This window comes from Homo sapiens, chromosome 3, assembly GCF_000001405.40.
Source record: "Homo sapiens chromosome 3, GRCh38.p14 Primary Assembly".
Taxonomy (NCBI): Eukaryota; Metazoa; Chordata; class Mammalia; order Primates; family Hominidae; genus Homo; species Homo sapiens.
The window spans coordinates 74,844,305-74,866,218 of NC_000003.12; the positions used below are offsets into that span (position 1 = coordinate 74,844,305).

At 36.6% G+C, this 21,914-nt stretch overlaps 1 long non-coding RNA gene across 3 annotated transcripts in view; it reads left to right on the plus strand.

Annotated features, from left to right (window-relative positions):
* The window catches only part of LOC105377167 (uncharacterized), a 60,528-nt gene that overhangs the window by 19,096 nt on the left and 19,518 nt on the right, over nt 1-21,914 (plus strand). For all 3 annotated transcript variants that reach the window (XR_940970.3, XR_940972.2, XR_001740758.1), the window contains exon 2: nt 14,626-14,718. This is a non-coding gene — a long non-coding RNA (uncharacterized LOC105377167). The remainder of the gene's footprint in view (nt 1-14,625; nt 14,719-21,914) is intronic.

Genomic DNA, 21,914 nt, shown 5'->3' on the forward strand with positions numbered 1-21,914 from the left:
GGAGGTCAGTAAGCATTTGTAGGATGACTGGCGTGTCTACAACAGTGTAGGCACTGGCGAGACAACCAGAAACAGAACAGAGACCCCTGTCCTCAAGGAGTGTCCATTCTGGAAAGGGAAATAAATTAAATACATAAAAAAAATAGGGTGTTGGATGGTGAAATGTTGTCCAGGAAAATAAAGGCAGCAATGAGTAGGCAATGCCGTGGAAAATGGTATGTACCCTAAATATTTTGGTCAGAGAAAGCCTCACTTTAAAAGTGACAGCTGAGCAGAGTCTCAAAGGAAGGGAATGAGTGGGTTATGCAAACATCTGGAGGAACAGCATTCCAGAAAGAGGAAACAGCAGTTCACAGGCCCTGGGGGAGTAGGAGAGAGCAGACCTGAGTTTCCAGGGAACAACTAAGAAACCAGTGTGAAAAAAGAAAAGGGGAGAGTAGAACACAAGGGCCCCAGAGAAGTAACATAGAGACAGATTGTGTGGGGCATGATAAGGACCTTGTCCTTTACCCTCAGTGAAATGGGAAGACATTGGAGGATTGGACAAGATGAGCAAATTAAATTGCCATTTTTTCCCACTTTTTGAAAAAAAGGTGCAATCCACATAATATAAAATTAACCATTTTAAAAAGTGAACAATTCAGTGGCCTTTAGTACATTCACAAGGTTGTACAATGATCACTTGTATCAAGTTCAAAATTATTTTCATCACTTCTCAAAAATACTCTGTACCAATTAGGCAGTCATTCCTATCTCCCCTCCCACAGGTCCTGGAAAACACAGATCTGCTTTTTGTCTATGTAGATTTATTTGTTCTGTTAATTAATATACATAGAATCACACTGCATGTCATCTTTTGAATCTGACTTCTTTCACTAGGCATAATGTTTTCAAAGTTCATTCACACTGTGGCATGTATTACATATTAGTGCTTCATTCCTGTTATGGTGAATAACATTCCATGGTATGTATCCACCACATTTTTTATCCAGCCATCATTGACCCACTTATCAGCTGTTTTCACCTTTAAGCTATTGTGAGTAATACTGAGGTTCACAATAGTACTATTATATTCATGTGTACTATTTGTGCACCAGTAGTTGTTTCAGTACCAGTTTTCAATTATTTTGTGTGTACACCTAAGAGTGAAATTGCTGGGTCATACGTTAATTCTATACTTAACTCTTTGAAGAATCACCAAATCACTTTCTACAGTGGCTGCATCATTTTACTTCCCTACTATCAGTTTCTTCACATCTTTGCCAGCACCTATTATTGTCTCTCTTTTTTTTATTATAGTCATCCAATTGGGTGTGAAGTGGTATATCATTTTGCTGTCATTTTTCCAAAACAAAATTACTCTGGCTGCTATGGTGAGAATAGTCTGTATGAGGGTAAGGATGGAAGCTACAGTAATTGGAAGAGGATGTATCTTTTTCGGTAATAACTACTCTGGTAGAATAGCAAATGAATTTGCATTGTCTGTTAAAGAGATCTAGAAACGTACCAAATGAAAAACCATAGATCTACAGTTTTCCACACATAGAAAATCATGTACGTTGTGTTAAAAGAAAGAAGAAAAAGTAAAAGTAGTAACATCTTCCCAAAATGGTCACAGAATTTATACCATTGCTTCATTTTTGAAAGAAGTCATGAGGTTTTGGAAGCCAAGGCCCGTGATTGGAAGTGAATTTTGGGTTCTGTATTAGTCATTTTCCCTTCGGTTGTTAGAAACAAAAGAGCTGAATGAAAACTGGATTGTCATAATGGAATTAATTTTCTCATGTAACTGGTATACTAGTGGGATAGGAATAGCCTCACATTCAGTTTAGGAAAAAGTCTCAAGTGATGCCACTACAGGTCCCAGTTTCTCAATTTCACCTTTTTTGTGGTGTTTGCATGACTTTAGTACTTCCAAAATTTATTTTGTCTCAGCTTTAAATCCTTCAGGAAAATGTGATTTTTTTCCCAGATGTCCTAGCAAATGTTCCATGGTACCTCACTGATTCTGATTGGTTATGAGCCAATTATAACGTACCCATTAAGGTACCACATCTATTAAATAGATAGCCAGTCATCAGCAGATCTCAGGCACTATATGTATTCTTGTTAAATGCAAATCCAATTTATACATTGTTAGAAAGATTAAGCAGAAAATACAGAGCTCATTGTTACAAGAAGTGACGAATTGTGATGAACAGCCACCTGTCCCACTTTATATATATTTTGAAAAGCCATTTATTGTGAAGTGAGCAAACACTCTTGAATGCATATTTATAAAGATTGTTCCATTATCTGAAAGACAGAAGCAGGGATGTGCAAAGTGAAGAATGGAGTCAAAGTCAAGTTTAAGAGAATAGGAAGAATTAGGAAACAATGAAGGAAATTCATATGGGCTTACATAATCCCAGGTAGCAAGGTGGAAAGTAGGAATAGAAAAGATTGATTACAAAAGGTTGCCGTGAGTTCCACCAGTTTGTAATTATTTGGGCTATAGGCCCTGGAAAGTTAGAAGAATTTGAACTTCAAGGGTCATTTTAACTGTAACAGTCCAAAAACCTTACCTGCTATCTCAATCTATCATGAAGATTCGTAATCAGTGCTCCATGAAGCCCTTGAAATTATGTGTAAAATGTGTGTGTGTGTGTGTGTGTGTGTGTGTGTGTGTGTGTGTGTATCTATCTTTGAGTTGGGTCTATTCCTTTTATCATATTCACAGAAGGGCTGCAGTCCCCAAGAAAGAATGAATTGCAGGTCTTTTAAAAATGTAGACAATTTATTCACACTTGGGATTTAGAAGGGAAACATCTTTCAGTGACTTACTAAGCAAAATATGACAAGTGATGAGGTACAGAGAGACAGAGAGACTGCCGAGTGTGTTAGACTGAGAATTTGGGCCAAGAGGAGGACAGAACAGGTGATTAATTTCCACCGGACAGCTTACCTCAGAACGACACTCCGGGAATCTCATTTATTCATTTGTCAGCAAATTAAATGTCAGCAAATTGGGCCAACATATTCAGAAGTTACTATGTGTCAGGATTGTTTCAGAGCTGGTTTAACCAATACCAGAACAATTAGCCACATGTAGCTATTTGGTACTTGAAGTGTGGCCAGTGCCACATATAGAAGTGATAATATTTTTGAGATTTATAATACCTTATTACATATAATAAATATATTTTTACATTAGTTTTACCTTTTGCCATTTACTGTTTTAATGAAACTTCTAGAAAACTTTAAATCACTTATGTGCCTCTCATTGTATTTCTATTGGACAGCACTCTTCCAGACACCAGCAAAGACCCTCTGCTTATGGACCTTAAATTCTAGTGAAAGAAAGCAGACAATCAACAATAAGCATCCTAAGTGAAGTCTGTGGTAGGTAGAAGGTGATGAATAGTACGGGAAAACAGAGAAATAGAGCAGGAGAAGGAGATCAGGTATGGTGGGATGGTAGAAGGCATTTTTCAATGTAAGGGTGATGGCAGGTTGCTTTAAGAAATTCGAACTTTTGAATAAAGTCTCATGCAGGTATGGAGGATAAGTTTGTAGGCCCTGGGAACAGCAAGTGAAAAAACCTAATGTGTAAGCTTGCCTGACTTGTTTGGGGAGCCAGACCTCAGAGGCTGGAGAAGAGTAGACTAAAGTCAGGGAGGCAAAGGCTGTGGGATTGGACAGATCATGTGGTGCTTACAGACTTAGACATTGACTCTGGGTGAAATGGGAATCCAATGGAGGGTTTTTAGAGGAGGGATGGCCCAAATTTGATTTAGATTTTAAGCAGATTGCCCTGGCTGGTATATTGCAGTCAGATCATAGAGAGGCAAAGATGGAAGCAGGAAAGCAGCTTGCAGGCTACTGTAGTAATCCAGGTGGGAGACAAAGGTGACTCAGATCAAGGAGGTTTGGTATAGATACTTAGAAAGGGTCAGATCTCAAAACCATACAGCTCACCAGGAAAATACCTCCAAAGCTTCAGACTTAGGACAAACCAGGGAGACCTGAAGTTACTGGCAGGTTTTGCTGCCAAAATAATATAGAATTTATTCATTGGTCTGCTTATGTACAGATTTGAGCTCTGTTCCCTTTATCCCCACACAAGCTTTGAGTTATTTATATGTCCCTTAAACAAGCTCAAGCCTTTTGCTGGAAAACAATTATCCTTAGGAGCCGGGAGCTTTGCATATTTGATGATCAGATATGCATTTCTGGTTCAGCGTCTTTCTGGAAATTCTATTTTCTATTAAATCTCAGATGGATGGTAATAATAAATGTTTGTTTAGCAGCAGCTGGTCCCAGATTGTTATCCTGTCGTGAACATATTTTATTTATTTGTCTCCATTTTTTTAACCTCTTTTGGTAACCTTTCCTTTTTTCAAGGCTTTATACGTGAAATAAAAATGTGTGCTGCTTAATCTGTTCACTTTCCAGTTTCTCTCACTGAATTAAGTGCAATTGTATTTATACAAAAGGCCTCATGCAACTTGCTATGCATCACTGCTGATTTAAATAAGAACATGGGGAAAAAAAGAGATCTTCCAACATTATATAATGCTAGGGCAAATACTCCTCTTCTTAAAGTGTCTTTGTAGGGGAATCTTTAATGTTGACTTTGTACTGAATGGGTATGTTGCTTTCAAAAAAGTTAATCTAGTGTTAGATTTGAAAGCGGTAAGGGAAGAATGAAAGGAAGAACTTATCCCCATGAAGTATACTGCAGCATCGATGCTCTTCTTATCTTGTCCTAAGTGAAATGAATTCTTTTTTTAAAAAAAATGGACTATAATGTTCTGTTTATACTCATTCCAACTGGGTGGTAAAGTTTATCTTATAACCATATCATCCAGATCACTTTTAGGTAGCATTTACTACCAAAAATCCTAACAGAAGTCATTTATTCTTAGGCCTATATAAATTTACCAATTATTTTTTTCTAACTAAATTTATCTAAATTTACTGTGAATGAGTCAATTGTTCAAAACCATTATGAAACACCACCAAATAAACTAATAAATAAGAACAAGCTGCTCTTGACTTCTGACCACTTGCCTCTGAAGGCAGAATTGAATAGTTGGTAAGGCCGTGGTCTTTGGTGACAAACAGATCTAAATTCTGCGGACCCCAACCTTCTGACTTATTAACTTTGGAACCTTAATCAAGATATTTAGTATTTCTAAGCCTCTGCTTTCTTAATTACAGAAATAGGAAAACCTCTGCTTATCGTGTTGCCTCGAGCCTAAAGGGAAATGAAATACTATTTGTGCATTAGCTTTCAATGGCTGCATAACAAATTACTGTGAGCTTAGTGTCTTAACTCAACAACTATTTCATTATTCCACAGTTCTGTAGGCCATAAATTCAGATAGGCTCAACTGGGTACTCTGTTGAGGGTATCATGAAGCTGAAATGGAAGGTGTTGGGTGTCGGTCTACCTAGGCTCCTAACCAAAAGTTCTGGGGGCTGACAACTCCCCAGTGCATAACTCTCTCCACTGAAGGATGTTTCCAGGCTCATTCGGGTTTTCGCTTGAATTTGGTTCCCTGTGGGTTTGGACTGTGGTCTTCATTTCCTTGCTGGCTCTCAACCAGAAGACATTCTCAGCTCCTAAAGGCCACCTTCATTTCCTGGCTTGCGGTCCTGTTCCTCTTCAAAGCCAGTAATAGCATGTTGAATCCCTCTTGTACTTAGAATCTTCCGACTTCCCTTTACAGATTGTCCCTGACGTCTTGTTTTATTTGTACTTGTTAGAGCGCATGTGATTATATTGGACTCATCTGGATAATCCAGGATGCCATCACTATTTTAAAGTCGACTAATTAGTATCCATCATTATATTTAGCAAATATATGATGGTAACACCAGGGGCAAAGGTCATGGACCAAGATTCTGTTTACCTTAATTTGCAAAGTAATTAGCACACACTGCTTGCAACAGAATAAATGCTGAATATTAGTTGTTTACAGCAGCAATACTGCCATGATGTGTGGGTCTGTACATTCTAAATGAATGTGATACTCTGATGGAAATTGCAAGGTGTATCACTCAGATTGTATTTTAGATGTTTTATCATGAAGTGGGGTGATATCAGAGTATTTCAATGACAATTTTATTCACCTGAAACTGAGGAACAAAAATCAGAGAAGAGCTGTTAATCCTTACACCTCTTCTGAGCATTACAGGGGCTTGATGATTAGACAGCTTCCTGCTCACGGTTAAGGGAACCTGCGTTTCTAAAGGGTTCCACATGAATGAATAAATGTGACAGAAGACATTGGTGACATTGGTGACAGCAATTTTAACTGGATACAGCAAAGAAAGATAGGGGATTTCTGGAAGAGCACAGTAGTCTCACTTAAGAGAAAAGAACATTCCCAGGACGCTTGTCAAAGAGAAGTGAAAATGGATGCTTTATCCAGAATGAAAAGAAGCAAGGGTTAAGAGTAGTGTGTGCATGGAATCCAGACTGATTAATTGGATGTTTAGTAATGTTTGCAATGTTAAAAACACAACAGTGCTTGGAAGAAAGTTAAACAAAAACAGAAAAAAGGAAAGTAATAATATGGGTGATGCTGTTGATGCCCTGTCCACATCCCTTCATCATGCCCCATTCCACTAGACCTGGGTTTCTCAGCCTTGGCACTGTTGACATACTGGGCAGGATAGATATTTGTTGTGGGGGCACTGTCCTGTATATTGCAGGATATTTAGCATCATCCCTGGTCTCTACCCACTAGATACTAGTAGCACGGTAGCCTTCCCCCAACCACCCTCCATTTAAAGAAACCAGCAAGGTCTCCAGATATTGCCAAAGGTTCCCTGAGAACAAAATTGGCCCTGGTGGAGAACAGCATGCTAGGCCAATGATCCACACACAAATGTGTATCAGAATCACCTGGAGGTCTTGTTAAAACACGGATTGCTGGGCTTCAGCATTGAAGTCCCCATTATAAGTCAAAGGTGCTGCTTGAGAATTGCATTTCTAATAAATTATCAAGTGATGCTTATGCTGCTGGTCTAGGAACCATACTTCAAGAACCACTGCTGCAGACACCAAAAGCTTCCTGTGGCAAACATCGGTCACTTTCCTTGAGGGTTTTCTCCGGTCACATGTATGACTCCCTCATCAACCAGGAATATAACGCCAAGGAATAAATCCATCCAGAGAAATTGCCAGCAATGAGGGAAGGGATTTGGTGAATGATTACATCATATCCCTCACCTCTCAGGTGAGACAAAAGTGAGGCACATTCTTCATAGCCCCCACAAGGTTCCTGACAAGATCAAGCCCCAGCAATCATCCATTAACTAACCTCTGCTGGCTTCTTTCCTGCTCTGTCTCATTTTCTCTGTACTCTACTGGTGCTTCTTGGGTCCACCTCCAAAATGAACTATCTGCATTCAAATCATTATCTCCTGCTGGGAGAAGCCAAATTAAAGCATGTTTTATAAATATAATTTCTAGATGATATGGTTTGGCTCTGCATCCCCACCCAAATCTCATCACGAATTGTAATCCCACGTCTCCAGGGAGGGACCTGGTGATTGGATCATGGGGGCAATTTTCCCCATGCTGTTCTCAATACAGTGAGAGAATTCACATGAGAGCTGATGGTTTTAAGTATGGCACTTCCTTGCTCTTTCGCTCTCTCTCTCTCCTGCCACCATCTAAAACATGCCTTGCTTCCCCTTGCCTTCTGCCATGATTGTGAGTTTCCTGAGGCCTCCCCAGCCATGAGGAATTGTGAGTCAATTAAACCTCTTTCCTTTACAAATTATCCAGTCTCAAGTAGTCTCTTTATAGCAGTGTGAGAGGGACACATACACTAGGTTTTATTTTTTTATTTTCATTTTTATTTTTGTAGAGATGGGGTCTCGTTATGTTCCCCAGATTGGTCTTAAACTCCTGGCCTCAAGTGATCCTACCACTTCAGCCTCCATAGTAGTGTTGGGACTATAGGTGTGAGCCACTGTACCTGTCCTAGGTTTTGTTTTATTATTTATTTATTTTGAGATGGAGTCTCACACTGTTGTCCAGGCTGGAGTGCAGTAGTGTGATCTCGACTCACTGCAACCTCTGCCTCTCAGGTTCAATCGATTCTCCTGCCTCAGCTTCACGAGTAGCTGGGATTATAGGCTCCTGCCACCATGCCCAGGTAATTTTTTGTATTTTTAGTAGAGATGAGGTTTTTCCATGTTGGCCAGGCTGTTCTCGAACTCCTGACCTCATGATTTGCCTGCCTTGGCCTCCCAAAGTGCTGGGATTACAGGCGTGAGCCACCACACCTGGACTATTTTTAATTTTTTAAAAAGCTGTTAATTTTAAACCCTCTAGCTCAGGGTTTTTTTTTTTTTTTTTTTTTAACCAGAAACAAATTTGACTCCTTTGCCATGGAACATTCGCAGTCTGGAGATATTGTTAGTTGTCACAAGTGTGACTGGGAGGTGCTGATGGCATCTAGAAGCTAATGAGGCTACTAAACATCCTACAAAGCAAAGGACAGCCCCTATGACAAAGACTTATCTGGTTCTGAATTTCATTAGTGCTAAGATTGAGAAACTGAGGTCCAAGGAATAAAAGAAGAAACTAAAAGTTCCAATGAAGATGCATTCTCAGAAGTATGCAAGTGTCCTCTCTGAAATTAGAAGCTTGAGGTTCAAGTTCAGAGACTGATAAATTGTGGCCATTCATCTGCTTCAAAAATAGTAAGCATATTCATGTCATGGTATTTTTTCTTTCTTATCCTGTGAATTGGAGTATTCCTAGATTTATTTCCATAAGACTTTTGAATTCCTTAAAAGAAAAAAAAAAGAGGTTTCCAAAAGCAAATATTCAGTTTGCAACAGATCATCAGACTTGTTCTAAAGAAATACCGAATTAATTTTTGACATAAGATTGAATTGCCATTATACAACTGGAAGTTGTTATATTCAGATAGCTGCCTTTACATTTTCTCATCTGTTAATATTGCATGATTCAAACAGGTTTCTGGATACCTAACATACTACGGCATTTTTCTCAGTGTAATGTTTTGAAATGTTGAATGCTATCAAAAATGTTCAAATATCGATGCAAGAAAATTAATCTTGATAAATGTGTAATAAAAGATAATTGAAGAAAAAAGAATCTGCATAGTATCAAGTGCTTCTTTTTAAAATACAAGTATTTCAGATAACCAAACTAGCTTATGGGTTGCTGGTTTGAAAAAGGAAAGAAAATGTGGGAAGAGTAAGAGAAGAAACTCAATTTAAATATTTCTCTATAATAGTAATTTTTCAAAAAAAATATAGGTTGGTCACCTTAATTTTTGAACTTCATAGTGGATTGTTGTCAGAAGTTCAACTTTCAAGATTTTAGGTTTGAATGATTTTTAATACCATTATTTCTCAGAAATCTGATATCAAGTTATTGAAGGTCTAAAATTCAGCTTCGTTTTTCTCCTTTTACATGGCAAAGCCTGAAATAAAACTGGTAATTAGCTACAGATGAGTTTCTCTTGCAACTATTTTACAAAGAAAACGTCTTATTGACATTGGGCTGCAGAGGGAAATAGGGCATTTTATGTCATAATACTTGATTTGGTCAAATTCTTGCCTATAAAATCTAGTCATAAAACAATAACTACTTTTAAAACCATAGATTATTTTTGGAAGGTTTTGAAAGATTATTATGAAAGATGATTTTTCTAGAAAGAATATATTAAACTAATGTGTGTGTGTGTGTGTGTGTGTGTGTGTGTAACAGAAAATGAGAGAGTAAGAGATTGAAAGCAGGGACAGAGAGAGATGACGGATAAGAGAGGTGGTTAGGGGTATCTAATTAGAAACAGTTTTAAGGGTGCTGCGTGCAGTGGCTCATACCTGTAATTCCAGTACTTTGGGAGGCCAAGGCAGGCTGATCACCTGAGGTCAGGAGTTCGAGACCAGCCTGACCAACATGGAGAAACTCTGTCTCTACTAAAAATACAAAATTAGCCGGGTGTGGTGGTGCATGCCTTTAACCCCAGCTACTCCGGAGGCTGAGGCAGCAGAATTGCTTGAACCCCTGGGAGGCAGAGGTTGTGGTGAGCCAGGATCGCGCCATTGCACTCCAGCCTGGGCAACAAGAGCAAAACTCCATTTCAAAAAAAAAAAAAAAATGAATTTTAAGGGATGTATTTTTATGAGTTAATTTAACATGTTAATTTTTTCCTATGGAAGATGTTATCTCTTAGCTGTAAAGTGAAGAGATTGTATCCAATATCATCCAAGTGCTATTAAATAACATTGAATAAGGCCCTCATTTACTAATTGAGATTAAATGAAAAGATATTCAGTGTAAATTAAGAGAATAGCTATTACATGTACATATTTTGTTGTCATTTATTTTGTTTATTAGAACAAAAGAGTTTAATATTTTTAAAATGTTGAGATTTCCATCTCCATCTAGAAGGGGAATAAAAAACCAGTATTCTCAGAGACCAAGAAAAAAACAAAAACAAAACAATACCCAAACCCTCTACATATTATAATTTGGGCATGATGTCTCAATTTTTATGATTCTGAATAACAGGGTTAAGCATTCAGAGCTATATTGGGCGGGCTTTTCTCCAAGTCCACCCAAAACAGGAAGATGATTGTCATATTCACAGCTTTAGATAAACTGTAATATAAAGTGATTTGCATTGAGAGTGATTATATATCCAATTTAGAGATGCACAGTTCATGAATGGAACACATCATGGGACCCTAATTCCCTTTTGGAGCACAAAATGATAATTAAAAGACAAATCACACTAAAAAGAATTTTATATTTACATATCACTAGATAAGGTCAGTTTATAGGCTTTGGCCATCTTAATGCAGTTTATTATCTCTGGAAGGCTACCTTAAAAATCAGGATGGTTGTATCTATCTAGAATAGATAGATCAAAACAAATGGAAAGATTTGCCCCATTTGAAAAACCACTCTTTAAATGCATGCTGGGAATTCTAGTGACCTAAAAGGAAGATCACTTAGAATGCTTAGATGAAGGGTGAGCTTTGTCTTGCAATAGCTATGTTACCCAAGGCAAATCAGCCAACTACTCAGAGAAAGAGTATTCCCATGTGGAAAATGCTATGCTAACTAAATTTAACATAAGGTTACCCTGTTGAATAAGCATGATCAGATTCTCTACTCCTCACTGTGGGAAAACACGTGCAGTGAGGTGTGCTACTTCAGCAAGAATGCACTAAACAATATTAGGCTGCTTGCGGCCGGTCGCGGTGGCTCACGCCTGTAATCCCAGCACTTTGGGAGACCGAGGCGGGAGGATCACCTGGTCAGGAGATCGAGACCGTCCTGGCTAACATGGTGAAACTCCGTCTCTACTAAAAATACAAAAAAATTAGCCGGGCCTGGCGGCAGACACCTGAAGTCCGAGCTACTCGGGAGGCTGTGGCAGGAGAATGGCGTGAACCCAGGAGGCGGAGCTTGCAGTGAGCCAAGATCGCACCACTGCACTCCAGCCTGGGCAACAGAGCGAGACTCCGTCTCAAACAACAACAACAACAACAACAACACCCCACAATATTACACTGTTTGCAAGAGTGACTGTACACTCATAAGCATTCAAAATCCTGTCGGGAAATGGAGAAACACTATGTTTAAGAAAATGTTTTGAATATCTTGAAAAAGGGTATAAATGCAAGATGCTGTTGTTGTTTTGAGTATTGTTGTCTGTTATAAGCTGCCCTTAGTGGATCAGGATTGCATGGTGAGAAAAAGGTCCAGCTGAACACTGCCTGACTTGATTTAACGAGGACAAATTCAATAAAGTGAAAGTCCAATATGAAGACGTGGAAACAAGTACATACCCACTCAGAATTCAATCTCCAAATTACATACAGTTATTGTTGACTTATTCGTTTGTGGAATGATATTTAATGTAGCAGAAGCCATTTCTGAAATATGTCCAGGTTGGTTCAGAATTACTTTGATTTTTTCCTTTGAAGATATAGTAAGACAAAGGATGATGAATAATGAAGGGATTAGGGGATTACAAGGGCAAGGTAGAAATTCAGGTGATTGTGAAGTCAATGGAGATGAATGGAAAAACTAGGATACGCTTTGAACGCGATTCATCAGAGTTCAGTTTCTTCAATCTCTAATAGCCCACTCTAGCAGCGTTTATATTTGAAGGGAAGCCAGATGCATTCGAGTAAATGTGATTATCCAACAAACTGGCTACAATGGAATCCAATAAGAATTGTTTTTGTACGTTACCAACATCTATATCAAAAAATAATACAAATAACCATGGCTCTTCCAGACCTGATTACTCAGAGAATTATAAAACATTCTGCTGCTTTACTTTTATGTCTTGTACTTTGTTTTAGGCTGCAATAAGAGTAAAATTTTTGATACCTCGAGCCAAATTTCTGATCCTATGATTTAATGAGTGGGACAAGAATATTGAGATGAAAGTATAACACATTCTTTTTACTTCTAAAACATTAGACCCATTTTCAGTGTGAAAGATAAAGCCAGGAACCCTTCTGGCTACTAGATATCATGCAGCTTTATTTTTACTCCAGTCCTTCAGCTACAGGGGAAAAAAGAGAGTGAGGGAAAAAAAGGGAAAAGCCAAATAATATAACTGTATTTCATTTTCAATTCTCTGCTTTGGGGGAAGAGGGGAAGAGAGTATTAGTCAGTGTTTAGACTGTAGTTTTTTTTTTCTCTTAAACATATATACAAAAAATATCCCAACACCTTTCTGATTGATAAAGTGAATAAGGTTAGAATGAAAAGTAGGAAGTATTTTTCAATCATACCATTTTCTTTTAAAACAACGACAACCCTATATGGGACACTGAGGCCTTAGCCTATGTGATCAGGTCATAACAACTGAATAGATTAAGAGAGGAGAATGTCCTTACTCCTTAGAAATGGGTGTTTCTTTCCTGCTTCTCTTCCACAACTGTCACAATAAAGCTGAATTTTAAACAATTGTAAACAAAGCATTTGAGCCCATGAGAGAAAAATTTTCAAGACAAAACCAAAAGCCACAAGAGCCAAATCTGTTACAGTATAATGTGGATCAAGAAATTGTTTAGATAAACCCCAAAAGATATATAACATTTAATTTGACAGCTTTTCCAGGAAAACAACCTCATTGATTTAGGTTTTAGTATGCTAACACAATTCTGGAGAATTCAGGCCATAAGTATATTATTAGTTGAACTGAAAGAAAGGTAACTGCTGTTTTAATTTTAAAGGATATTGCAAAGGTTAGTGGTATGTTTTTATGGGCATAACATGCACAATTACGGCAGGCGTGATTGGCCAGAGTGGATTATATTTTACACATAATTAGTCTAGACATGTGTTGGTGCCACTTAGTAGAGGAGAGTGTGGCTAGTTTGCTAGCACTTGCTTCAGCTTTGGCATATTCATTTTTAAAAAGTATTTGCCTTTGATTTTTCATAGTAAAGCAGTTTTTGTAATAATATTGGGTAAATAAATATTTTCCAAAGCTATATGTTATATTAAGTAATTTATGTCATTATTGATTTTTTTTCCAGTAGTAAGAAAGTTAATAGTTGGAATTGTATGTAGTTGCCATAGTAACGCACACAAGTCTATTTTTCTTGAAGTGGAGGCACGCAATTAATCTTTTTTTAACCTATTTTACTATGAGAACGTCCACAGAATGCAATAACAGATCTGTAGTCCTAATAATTTTTATCATTTTTTTTACTGCAACTGTCTAAATAATCTTTTCAGATTAAAAATGTTAATTAGTAGAATTGTTTCAAATTTGAGAATAAATAAACATATTTTCTGTGAAAAAAAAAAGCTTCCAAAATATTCAGGGTCCTTTTGTATTATTTTACATTTTATGGAGTTCATTAACGTTCCACCCAAACAAATTTTAAATATGTGAGTCTTTTATTACTTTTACATTATGCATTTACTTAAAATGAAAATGACGTTCAACTTAAGGTGGCAAGTGTAACATGGCTCCAGAATATATTAACATATTTTATTTTTATATCATGTATTATTCAGCTTAAATTTGCATGTGCATATGTCTCTATTTCTGTGTTAATGTGTAGTTTTCTCTCACAAAAACTACTCCCAGTATTCATCAATTAATGTTAAATGAGGTTTTTAATGTTTTTGATAAGCTGATGTTAATCTATATTTCTAAAACAGGGTCACAAAATTAACTAGCTATATGAATCAGCCAGGCAATGAAAATCAGTGAAATGGTCCAGATGGAAGACGACAACGAGGAATGTGGTCTGGAAATCAGATGCCCAGGAGAAAGGTGGCAGCTCCACCTTGAACTCCCATGAGTACTGATGTATGCAATGTGCATCCAAACTTTTCCTGATTTTTAAGAGAAGTCAGAATTTTGAATGTTGACATAAAATCTGTTTGCATATAAATCTAGGAAACCAAAGCAATCGAATTTTTGAAAAATACACCAGGAAGGGTCAGAATCATCTGCAGTTTTCATCTGGATCACCAGCTGTCATTCTGCATATCCTACTTACCTCAAGGGGCAGCTTCAGTCTTGGAAACAGAAAATCCTAAGATGTTGTTGCCACTTGATCCAACTGGAAAATACTGGCGTTTACATTCTTGTTTTACAGATGCAGAAAGCAATATTTAACTGATCAGCTGCCACTCACATCATGAATCAGAAGCAGCCTTAAAAGAAAGGATCCCTTCTTGCTATTTTGAAGGTGAAATATGATCTTCTATCTAGTGACTGAAATTGTATGTTGAGATGAACGAGGGCCTCAGGGGTTGGGTAATCATTGAGGAATAACGAAATACTTTGGACTTGAGCTATGTGGGTAGCCGATTGAATTATGCAAGGGAACTTTGGTGGCAGAGGCTATGTAGAGAGACAGGACAGAGAATGTCCAGTAACACCGTTGTTACCTTAGATTCTATGTTATGCATTGGAATTATCATGGTCCCACGGCTTTATTAAGTAAGTCACTTCAAAAAGCAACAGTTTTGCAATAAGAAGTCTTGGAAATGCCAGGCTAGAGTTTGTGGTGGCCACTGGGTATAGGGGACAAGAAGGAAGGAAAAGCGAAGAGAGAGAGTGGAGGGAACACCACATGTGGCACAGTTCCAGAAGTCCCTATGCTGGCCCTGGGTAGAGGTGGCATCTGCCACTACTACCTCTTTTTTTTGCTCTTCCATCTCCTCTGATTTGTATAAAACCAGCCTGATATATCACTTCATAACAGAGTTATGAAAAAAGATCTGTGGAATCCCAACCTTTGAAGCCTACCCTCCCTTTACTCTAAAGGTCAGTCAAGGGAGTACATGGAGATATCTGACAAAATATTAATAGAATGTGAATTGTTAGAGTGGGACTAATTCAGCCATATGATTGAGCTTCACTAAATTTCTTAAGGTCAGGAGTGAGGGCTTTGTTAAAGAAAATATTTTAAAGTAGCCTCAGTAACATATTAGAAAATGTGATAAATTTGGATTTTGTGGTCATAAATTTGCCTTGAAGCTCTGTCATTTTTTTAACAACTGGGTGACACAGAGCAAGTCATATAGCTTCTTGTGCTCTTTTATGATAACTATATATCTTCAGACGCATAGGTCATGAGTTTTTTGTGATTGTTTCTGAAATATCTTTTTTCTTCTGTGAAAATAAAACTATGCCTATTATTAAGAAAAGATAACTTCATTATCTAATCTGAACTATTATATTAGAATGACTGCCACAAAGAACAATGCCATGTTTCAGATATTTTAAAAAATTTATAGGAACATATAAAAATCTAGCAGAGAAATGAACTCACAATAAAAATCAGACTACAATAAATAAATCATATAATACTATGCCAGACCATAAATTACTAAAGCGATTTAATGAAACAAAGCAACTTCTAAAATAGTTAATATTCTTTAACAATTTTATACTGTATATCCATAAAATATAAGCTGTACTTCTTACAAAAAGCATAACTTAAAAAAAATTCTAAATTTGAAATAAATTTAGATGTACAAAAGGAAAACAAAGAAGTTGCAAACGTAATATGTAGATTTCCCATGTATACTTTACTTCTCCAAATGTCTTACATAGACATAGTACAATTTAACAAAATCAGATAATTATGATTTAGCCATACTATTAACTGATTTTCACATTCTATTCAAAATTTTCCAGTTGTTCCACTAATATCCTCTTTCTAGGCCTGTATCCCATCAAGGATCTTATATTGCTATAAGTTTCATGTCTCCTTAGGCACCTCCAATGAAAAGAATTTCTTAATTTTTCTTTGTCTTTGTGTCACTTTATCTTTCAAGAGTACTGGACAATTATTTTTTAGAATTTTTCTCTATTTGGCCTTGTTTGAGAATTGTTATGATTTGGTTGAGGTATTACTGGCCAGAGCACCCTAGAAGTGATTGTTGTGTCCTTTCTGGTTCATCATATTAGGAGGTACATGAAGTCAACATGCCTCATTTCTGTTTACTTTAACTTTGATCTCTTGGTTAAGGTAACCTTTATTTTTAACCATCTAAGTAAATGAAAATTATCAACATTTCGGTTTTCTTTAAAAAAAATTTAGCAGTACATATATCTCTTAATTAGATGCCACCTGAAATTGAGCCTAACATAAATTATAATAATTCACCCTCACTAGATAGTGGATTCTAATAAAGTATCATTGTACATTTTGGTATGCTTATTAAAAGTTAATAATAGTATAAAATAAAAACATTAATTCTTCCTATACTTTGATTTGTTGTTATTGTTTATATGGAAATGAAATATAACCTTAGCTACATTATGGAGAAATTTAAATTTAATTTATAAGGTTTAATATGGCTTTAGTAAAAGAATATCGTGACATATGAGAAGTATTTGCATAGAAATTTTCTTTGTTAATTCTGCTTATTAAGATGGTTTCAGAGCTGTGATATCCATTTCACTATTAAAATGTGACTTACGACTAGTAATTTCTTAGGTGTTCTGTAACAAATCAATAAAAGTTCAGTAACGTTTTCTTCTATCTTCTTTGATCCTCCTAGCATCTCTGATGATATTCCCCAAATCATAAAGCAGGCTTTCAGACATTTTCAGGGCATTGATACAACGCCCCCTGAAGGTGTTTCCTATGGTTTTAATTTGCAGCTGCTTCATAGACTCATGAGGGCTATGTCCCATTTCCCCAGGGAGAGTATCTCCTCATCTTGCAGTTGGAGAGATGGTGCTTATTATATTTAGAGATAAAAACAGTAAAACAGAAGTTTGTCTTTAAAAGAAAGCATTGATAGCCCATTTTAATGCTTGGCCTTTCAAGACAAGAACTAAATAAAACATTTTGTTATAACCACTGAATTTCCACATTGGCAAAGTTCTTTCTGTATCTTCCATAATAATTAATTAGAAAGAATGAAGTTATGATGCAGAAGCCAATCTGATTAAAGTGAATTGAGGTTGGATTTTTTTTTTTTACACAGCTCTCAAACAGCTAACCAGTAATAGTCTAGCATGTCTCTTCAGTCTGAGACTCCTCAAAAACCAGTGCTTGTTTATTGACATTTGTTAAGGACTGAGTAGACTGAACATATATGCATAGCTGTAGGGGTCTGGGAATAAAATAAGACAGGTGTTTGTAGCAATTTACAAAGCACTTTTATATACCCTTATCATTGATATCATCACATTATTCTTTGCAACAGCAATCAGGGGGAGATTTTACTACTGCTATATTACAGAGAAGGAAACTGAATGTCTGAGTGAGAAAATTATTGGCTAAAAATTACAAAATTATTTAAGAGATATCCTTGAGACTTAAACCCAAATCATCTAACAGGAAAAACTGCCATATTTCCATTACACTACCCTGCCTCTTTTATAGAAGTCATGTTCAGGTTACAGAATAGGGCTCTGAAAATTCTTTAGACATCTTCAAATGAGATTGACTATGGAAATGGATTAGATTGTGTTGAATTTACATCTCTGTCTTCAGATGACTCTCACATTTATATCTCCCATTGAGATCTTTCTTCGAAGCTACAGAACCACATACCCAATTGCCCACTTGATATCTTCCTGTGTATGTCTCAAAGATATCTCAAAATTATCATATCCCAAACTATCAACCCCCTTCCAAATCCCACCAAATCTTGAGTGCATCCCCTCTCAGTGAATATCACATCACATCATGTACATTGCTATAAACGCTAGAAACAAGGAGGAAACATTGACATATCCCTCTCCCTCCTTCTCTTCTTCCCTCACCGTAGCCAACATATCATGCAAATCCTGACAATTTTCACTCCTAATTTTTTTCAAGTCTGTACTCTTTCCACATCTCCATTTTGATCATCCTAAACCAGATGATCATCATCACGGCCTGGACTCCTGCCATAGCTTCATATTTGGAACTCCCACACCCATTCTGGCCTTTCTCCAAAACATTTTCCACTCTCTGGATGGAAGGCTTTTTTTTTTAATGCAAATTTGATCATACTAAAAACACTCCACTGGCTTTTCATTACTCTTTAGATATATCCAAGATCAAATCCTTAACATGGCTTATAAAACCTTGAATTGTTTGGCACCTGCCTAATTTTCCAACATCACTTTATATCAATCCAAAAGAAACCCACAATTCCCAGGCTACCTCCCACAATGGTAACTGCCCATCATCCTCCCTGGCTTTCTTCTTTACCTTGAGCAGGTTAGTTTCCATTGCACCTCAGGATTTTAGCAAACCCTGCACTTCTGCTTGGCATATTCTCCTTTGCCACTAACTTTTACCTGTTTAATTTCTATTATTTTTTCTTGGATCCCAGTATAATTGTCCCTTCTTCAAGGGAGTCTCCGAGACCTTGCAGATGTGGTCATATCCTCCCTCTAATAGGTCTGTGGACCTGTACCTTGAACCTTGTACCCACTATTCACAGTTATAATTATCAATCATTTCCACGAATCATTGAATGCCTATCTGCACCTCTCAAGTGTGATTTCCATGAAAGCTGAAATGTTGTTTCTCTTGCTTGGCTCACCTTTACACCTCCTCTCCATCTACTATCACCCCTAACCAAGCAACCAAGTCACATTTGATGAAAGGATGAGTATATGAATACCATTTTCCCTGGGCCTTGTCATTTAGCTGAGGAAATCCATGTTCCAATGCAGGAAGAGAGGACTCCTATTGTTGGGCCAGGTTCAGTAAAATATTTATCCCAAGTAGTGAGTATAGAATATTAGAGAGAGAGTGAAGTGTAATCCTGTAGGAAGCAAAAGTCAAAAGTCAGAAGACTAGTAAGCAGGTATTAACAAATGAGGGCAAGATGAGGTTATAAACTAGGCTGAGATTCAAACCCAGGACGTCTGGTGATGAGATTAAAAATCTCATTATCATTAGGCCTGGTCAACCAATGCTTTGTTCCTTTTTGAGGCTTTTTGGTAATAGCTTCATAGTTTTTGCTTTGGAGAACTACTCCTTCTATATTTCAGGCTGCCTTGGAAGGGTAATGGACCAGAAACAGCCAGACTCTCCCTAGTTTAAGGCCAAACTGTCTCTCTTGAATTTTTAATCCTGAATGACATGACCCACGTACAAAACATATTTGGAATTAATTCATTCTTTGCATTATGTCCTGAAGTCATGGAGCATTAATTCTGCTTACCTAAATACTAGAGTGCCTTGGTTCTTGTTCTTTCTGAGACAGGCTATTTAGGTTTCCCTTGATTCCCATATTCTTCCAATAAATGCTTTTACCTATTTATCTGTTTTATTTATCAGCTATGTATGTATGTATGTATGTATCTATCTATCTATCTATCTATCTATCTATCTATCTATCTATCATCTATCTTTTATCTATCATCTATCTATCAATCAACTATCTAGGCTTGAGATAGTTAATGCTAGTTTCTGTTGCTTATAGTAATATGCACATTAAAGTCACTGTAGGATTTAGTCTGTGAATGGATTGCAGGAAATTGATTCACATTTTTGATTAACATCCCAGTTTAAAATAACTGAAAAAGATAAGCTGGGAAGAAAAATATAAATGAAATATTAAAAGCATAATTTGAGGGATAAAATACATGCAAAATATGCCTTCTGTGGGAGACAAATTTCTTTCATTAAAAAAACTATAACAAATTAAATTTTTCTGGCAAGTACACACATTTTATTTTTATATATATTTTAAATGAAATTATAATGAAGGATATATTCAAGCAGATTGACAAAACTGCTTTGACAACTCAAAGGAATAAAAGTTTAAAGGGAAAAATCAGCCCCCATTATGATGTTCAGTGTCACAGAAAGAGAAGAAGTTCTGGCGGGGTGTCCCCTCAAGCTGAGACAGTGCCCCCTGACCATGTGGAAAATTGAATTCCTTTTTGTTTTAAATTCTCTTTTCAACTTAAGGATGAAACTTCCAAATAATTCCATTTACTTATCCATCATTTTTGGGCTTTGAAAAAAAAAACATCTGTATACTCACTTATTTTATCTTAGTCTCTGCTCTAGATGTCATTCCCATTTTGGGAGCTTCCCTATAGAAGTGAGAGTCCAGAGAACAAAGTGATGCCCTAATGTTAGCTGATGATCCATATTAATAGGCATTTGAAAAGAATAGCACAACAGAAATTGCTGTTTAAATGAATGGTACCCTGTCTTAAGGACAAAGGCCTCCGGTGACTTCTAGATGAATTCAATATACCTTAATTACTGTGCACTAGAAAAAGTGTATTGTTGATCTTATGGAACGAATACTCTCAGAATTTCTGCCCCCTGAAAATCTTCTACAACAAAAGTTCTGATTGTTAGTTATTTGCCTAAAATTGGTTAAAGAGTGACAGTGTTTGCATGATTGTTTATTCTTTCTTCCACAATTTTGAAAGTCATTCATTCATTAATTCTGCAAGCAGTATTTGGAAACCCACTCTATATCTGGCATCATACCAGACACTGCAGTTATGAAGATAACTCAGATAAAGTCTATGTCATCAAGTATGTCAAAGTTTAATTTGGTAGAAAGAAATATACATGATGTATTCAATACGATGCATTTGGTGACAAGAAACAGAAAATTGGATTCCACTTCATGCATAGTAAAAGAAAATTCAACAGATCAAAAGTGAGAGCAATGCTTCAGATTGCTTTTTATCTTTTCTTTCTGTCATACTTAATGTGCTATCTTTTTTCATAGGCTTCTGTGTTCCATAGCATCAAGACGCCTGCAGCACCTCCATGCATATCATCCTCACACAATAGTCTTCAAAAGCCAGAAAAGAGAGGGAGAGTCATGGGTCATCACTTTCTCAAGTTTTTAAATTTAATTATTTTAAATTAAGAAAAATTGCTCAGACATCTTATGACAGGCCTACTTCATTTTTCTTTAGTCAGAATTGTGCCCAATGACCATTTCTAAACCAATTATTAACAAGGACAATGGAGATACTGACTTGTTTTTCAATAGTCAAAATCTACCTTCTGGTGTTGAAAAGGGAGCCAACATCAACTGAAGTGCATGACTACATGATTCTTGAACAAATATGAATGAAGAAGAAAGTATGGATTGGGTTTGTGTAGCCAACTGGAAGTCTACTACATGTAGAAAATTGTAATTCAAGATGAGTAATGCTGTAAAAGATATATGTACAAGATCTATAAAGTTTTATAAAATAATCTAAGAATGAAAAATTTTTTATTTCTAAGTTGATTAGTTATGACTATAAGTGCAAGAAGAATTCACAGAAGGATGAAAAAAATCTAAAATCCTGGCCAATTCTTGTCAAAGCATAATTTCTTTATTAACAAAAACCTCTTTTCCAGTGGAATGAAAAAACATTAGGGAAAGAGAAAAGAAGAAACAGGGTTTTTTGCTTTGTTCTATCTCTGAGTCCATATCAGTGGTTAATGTCATGTAA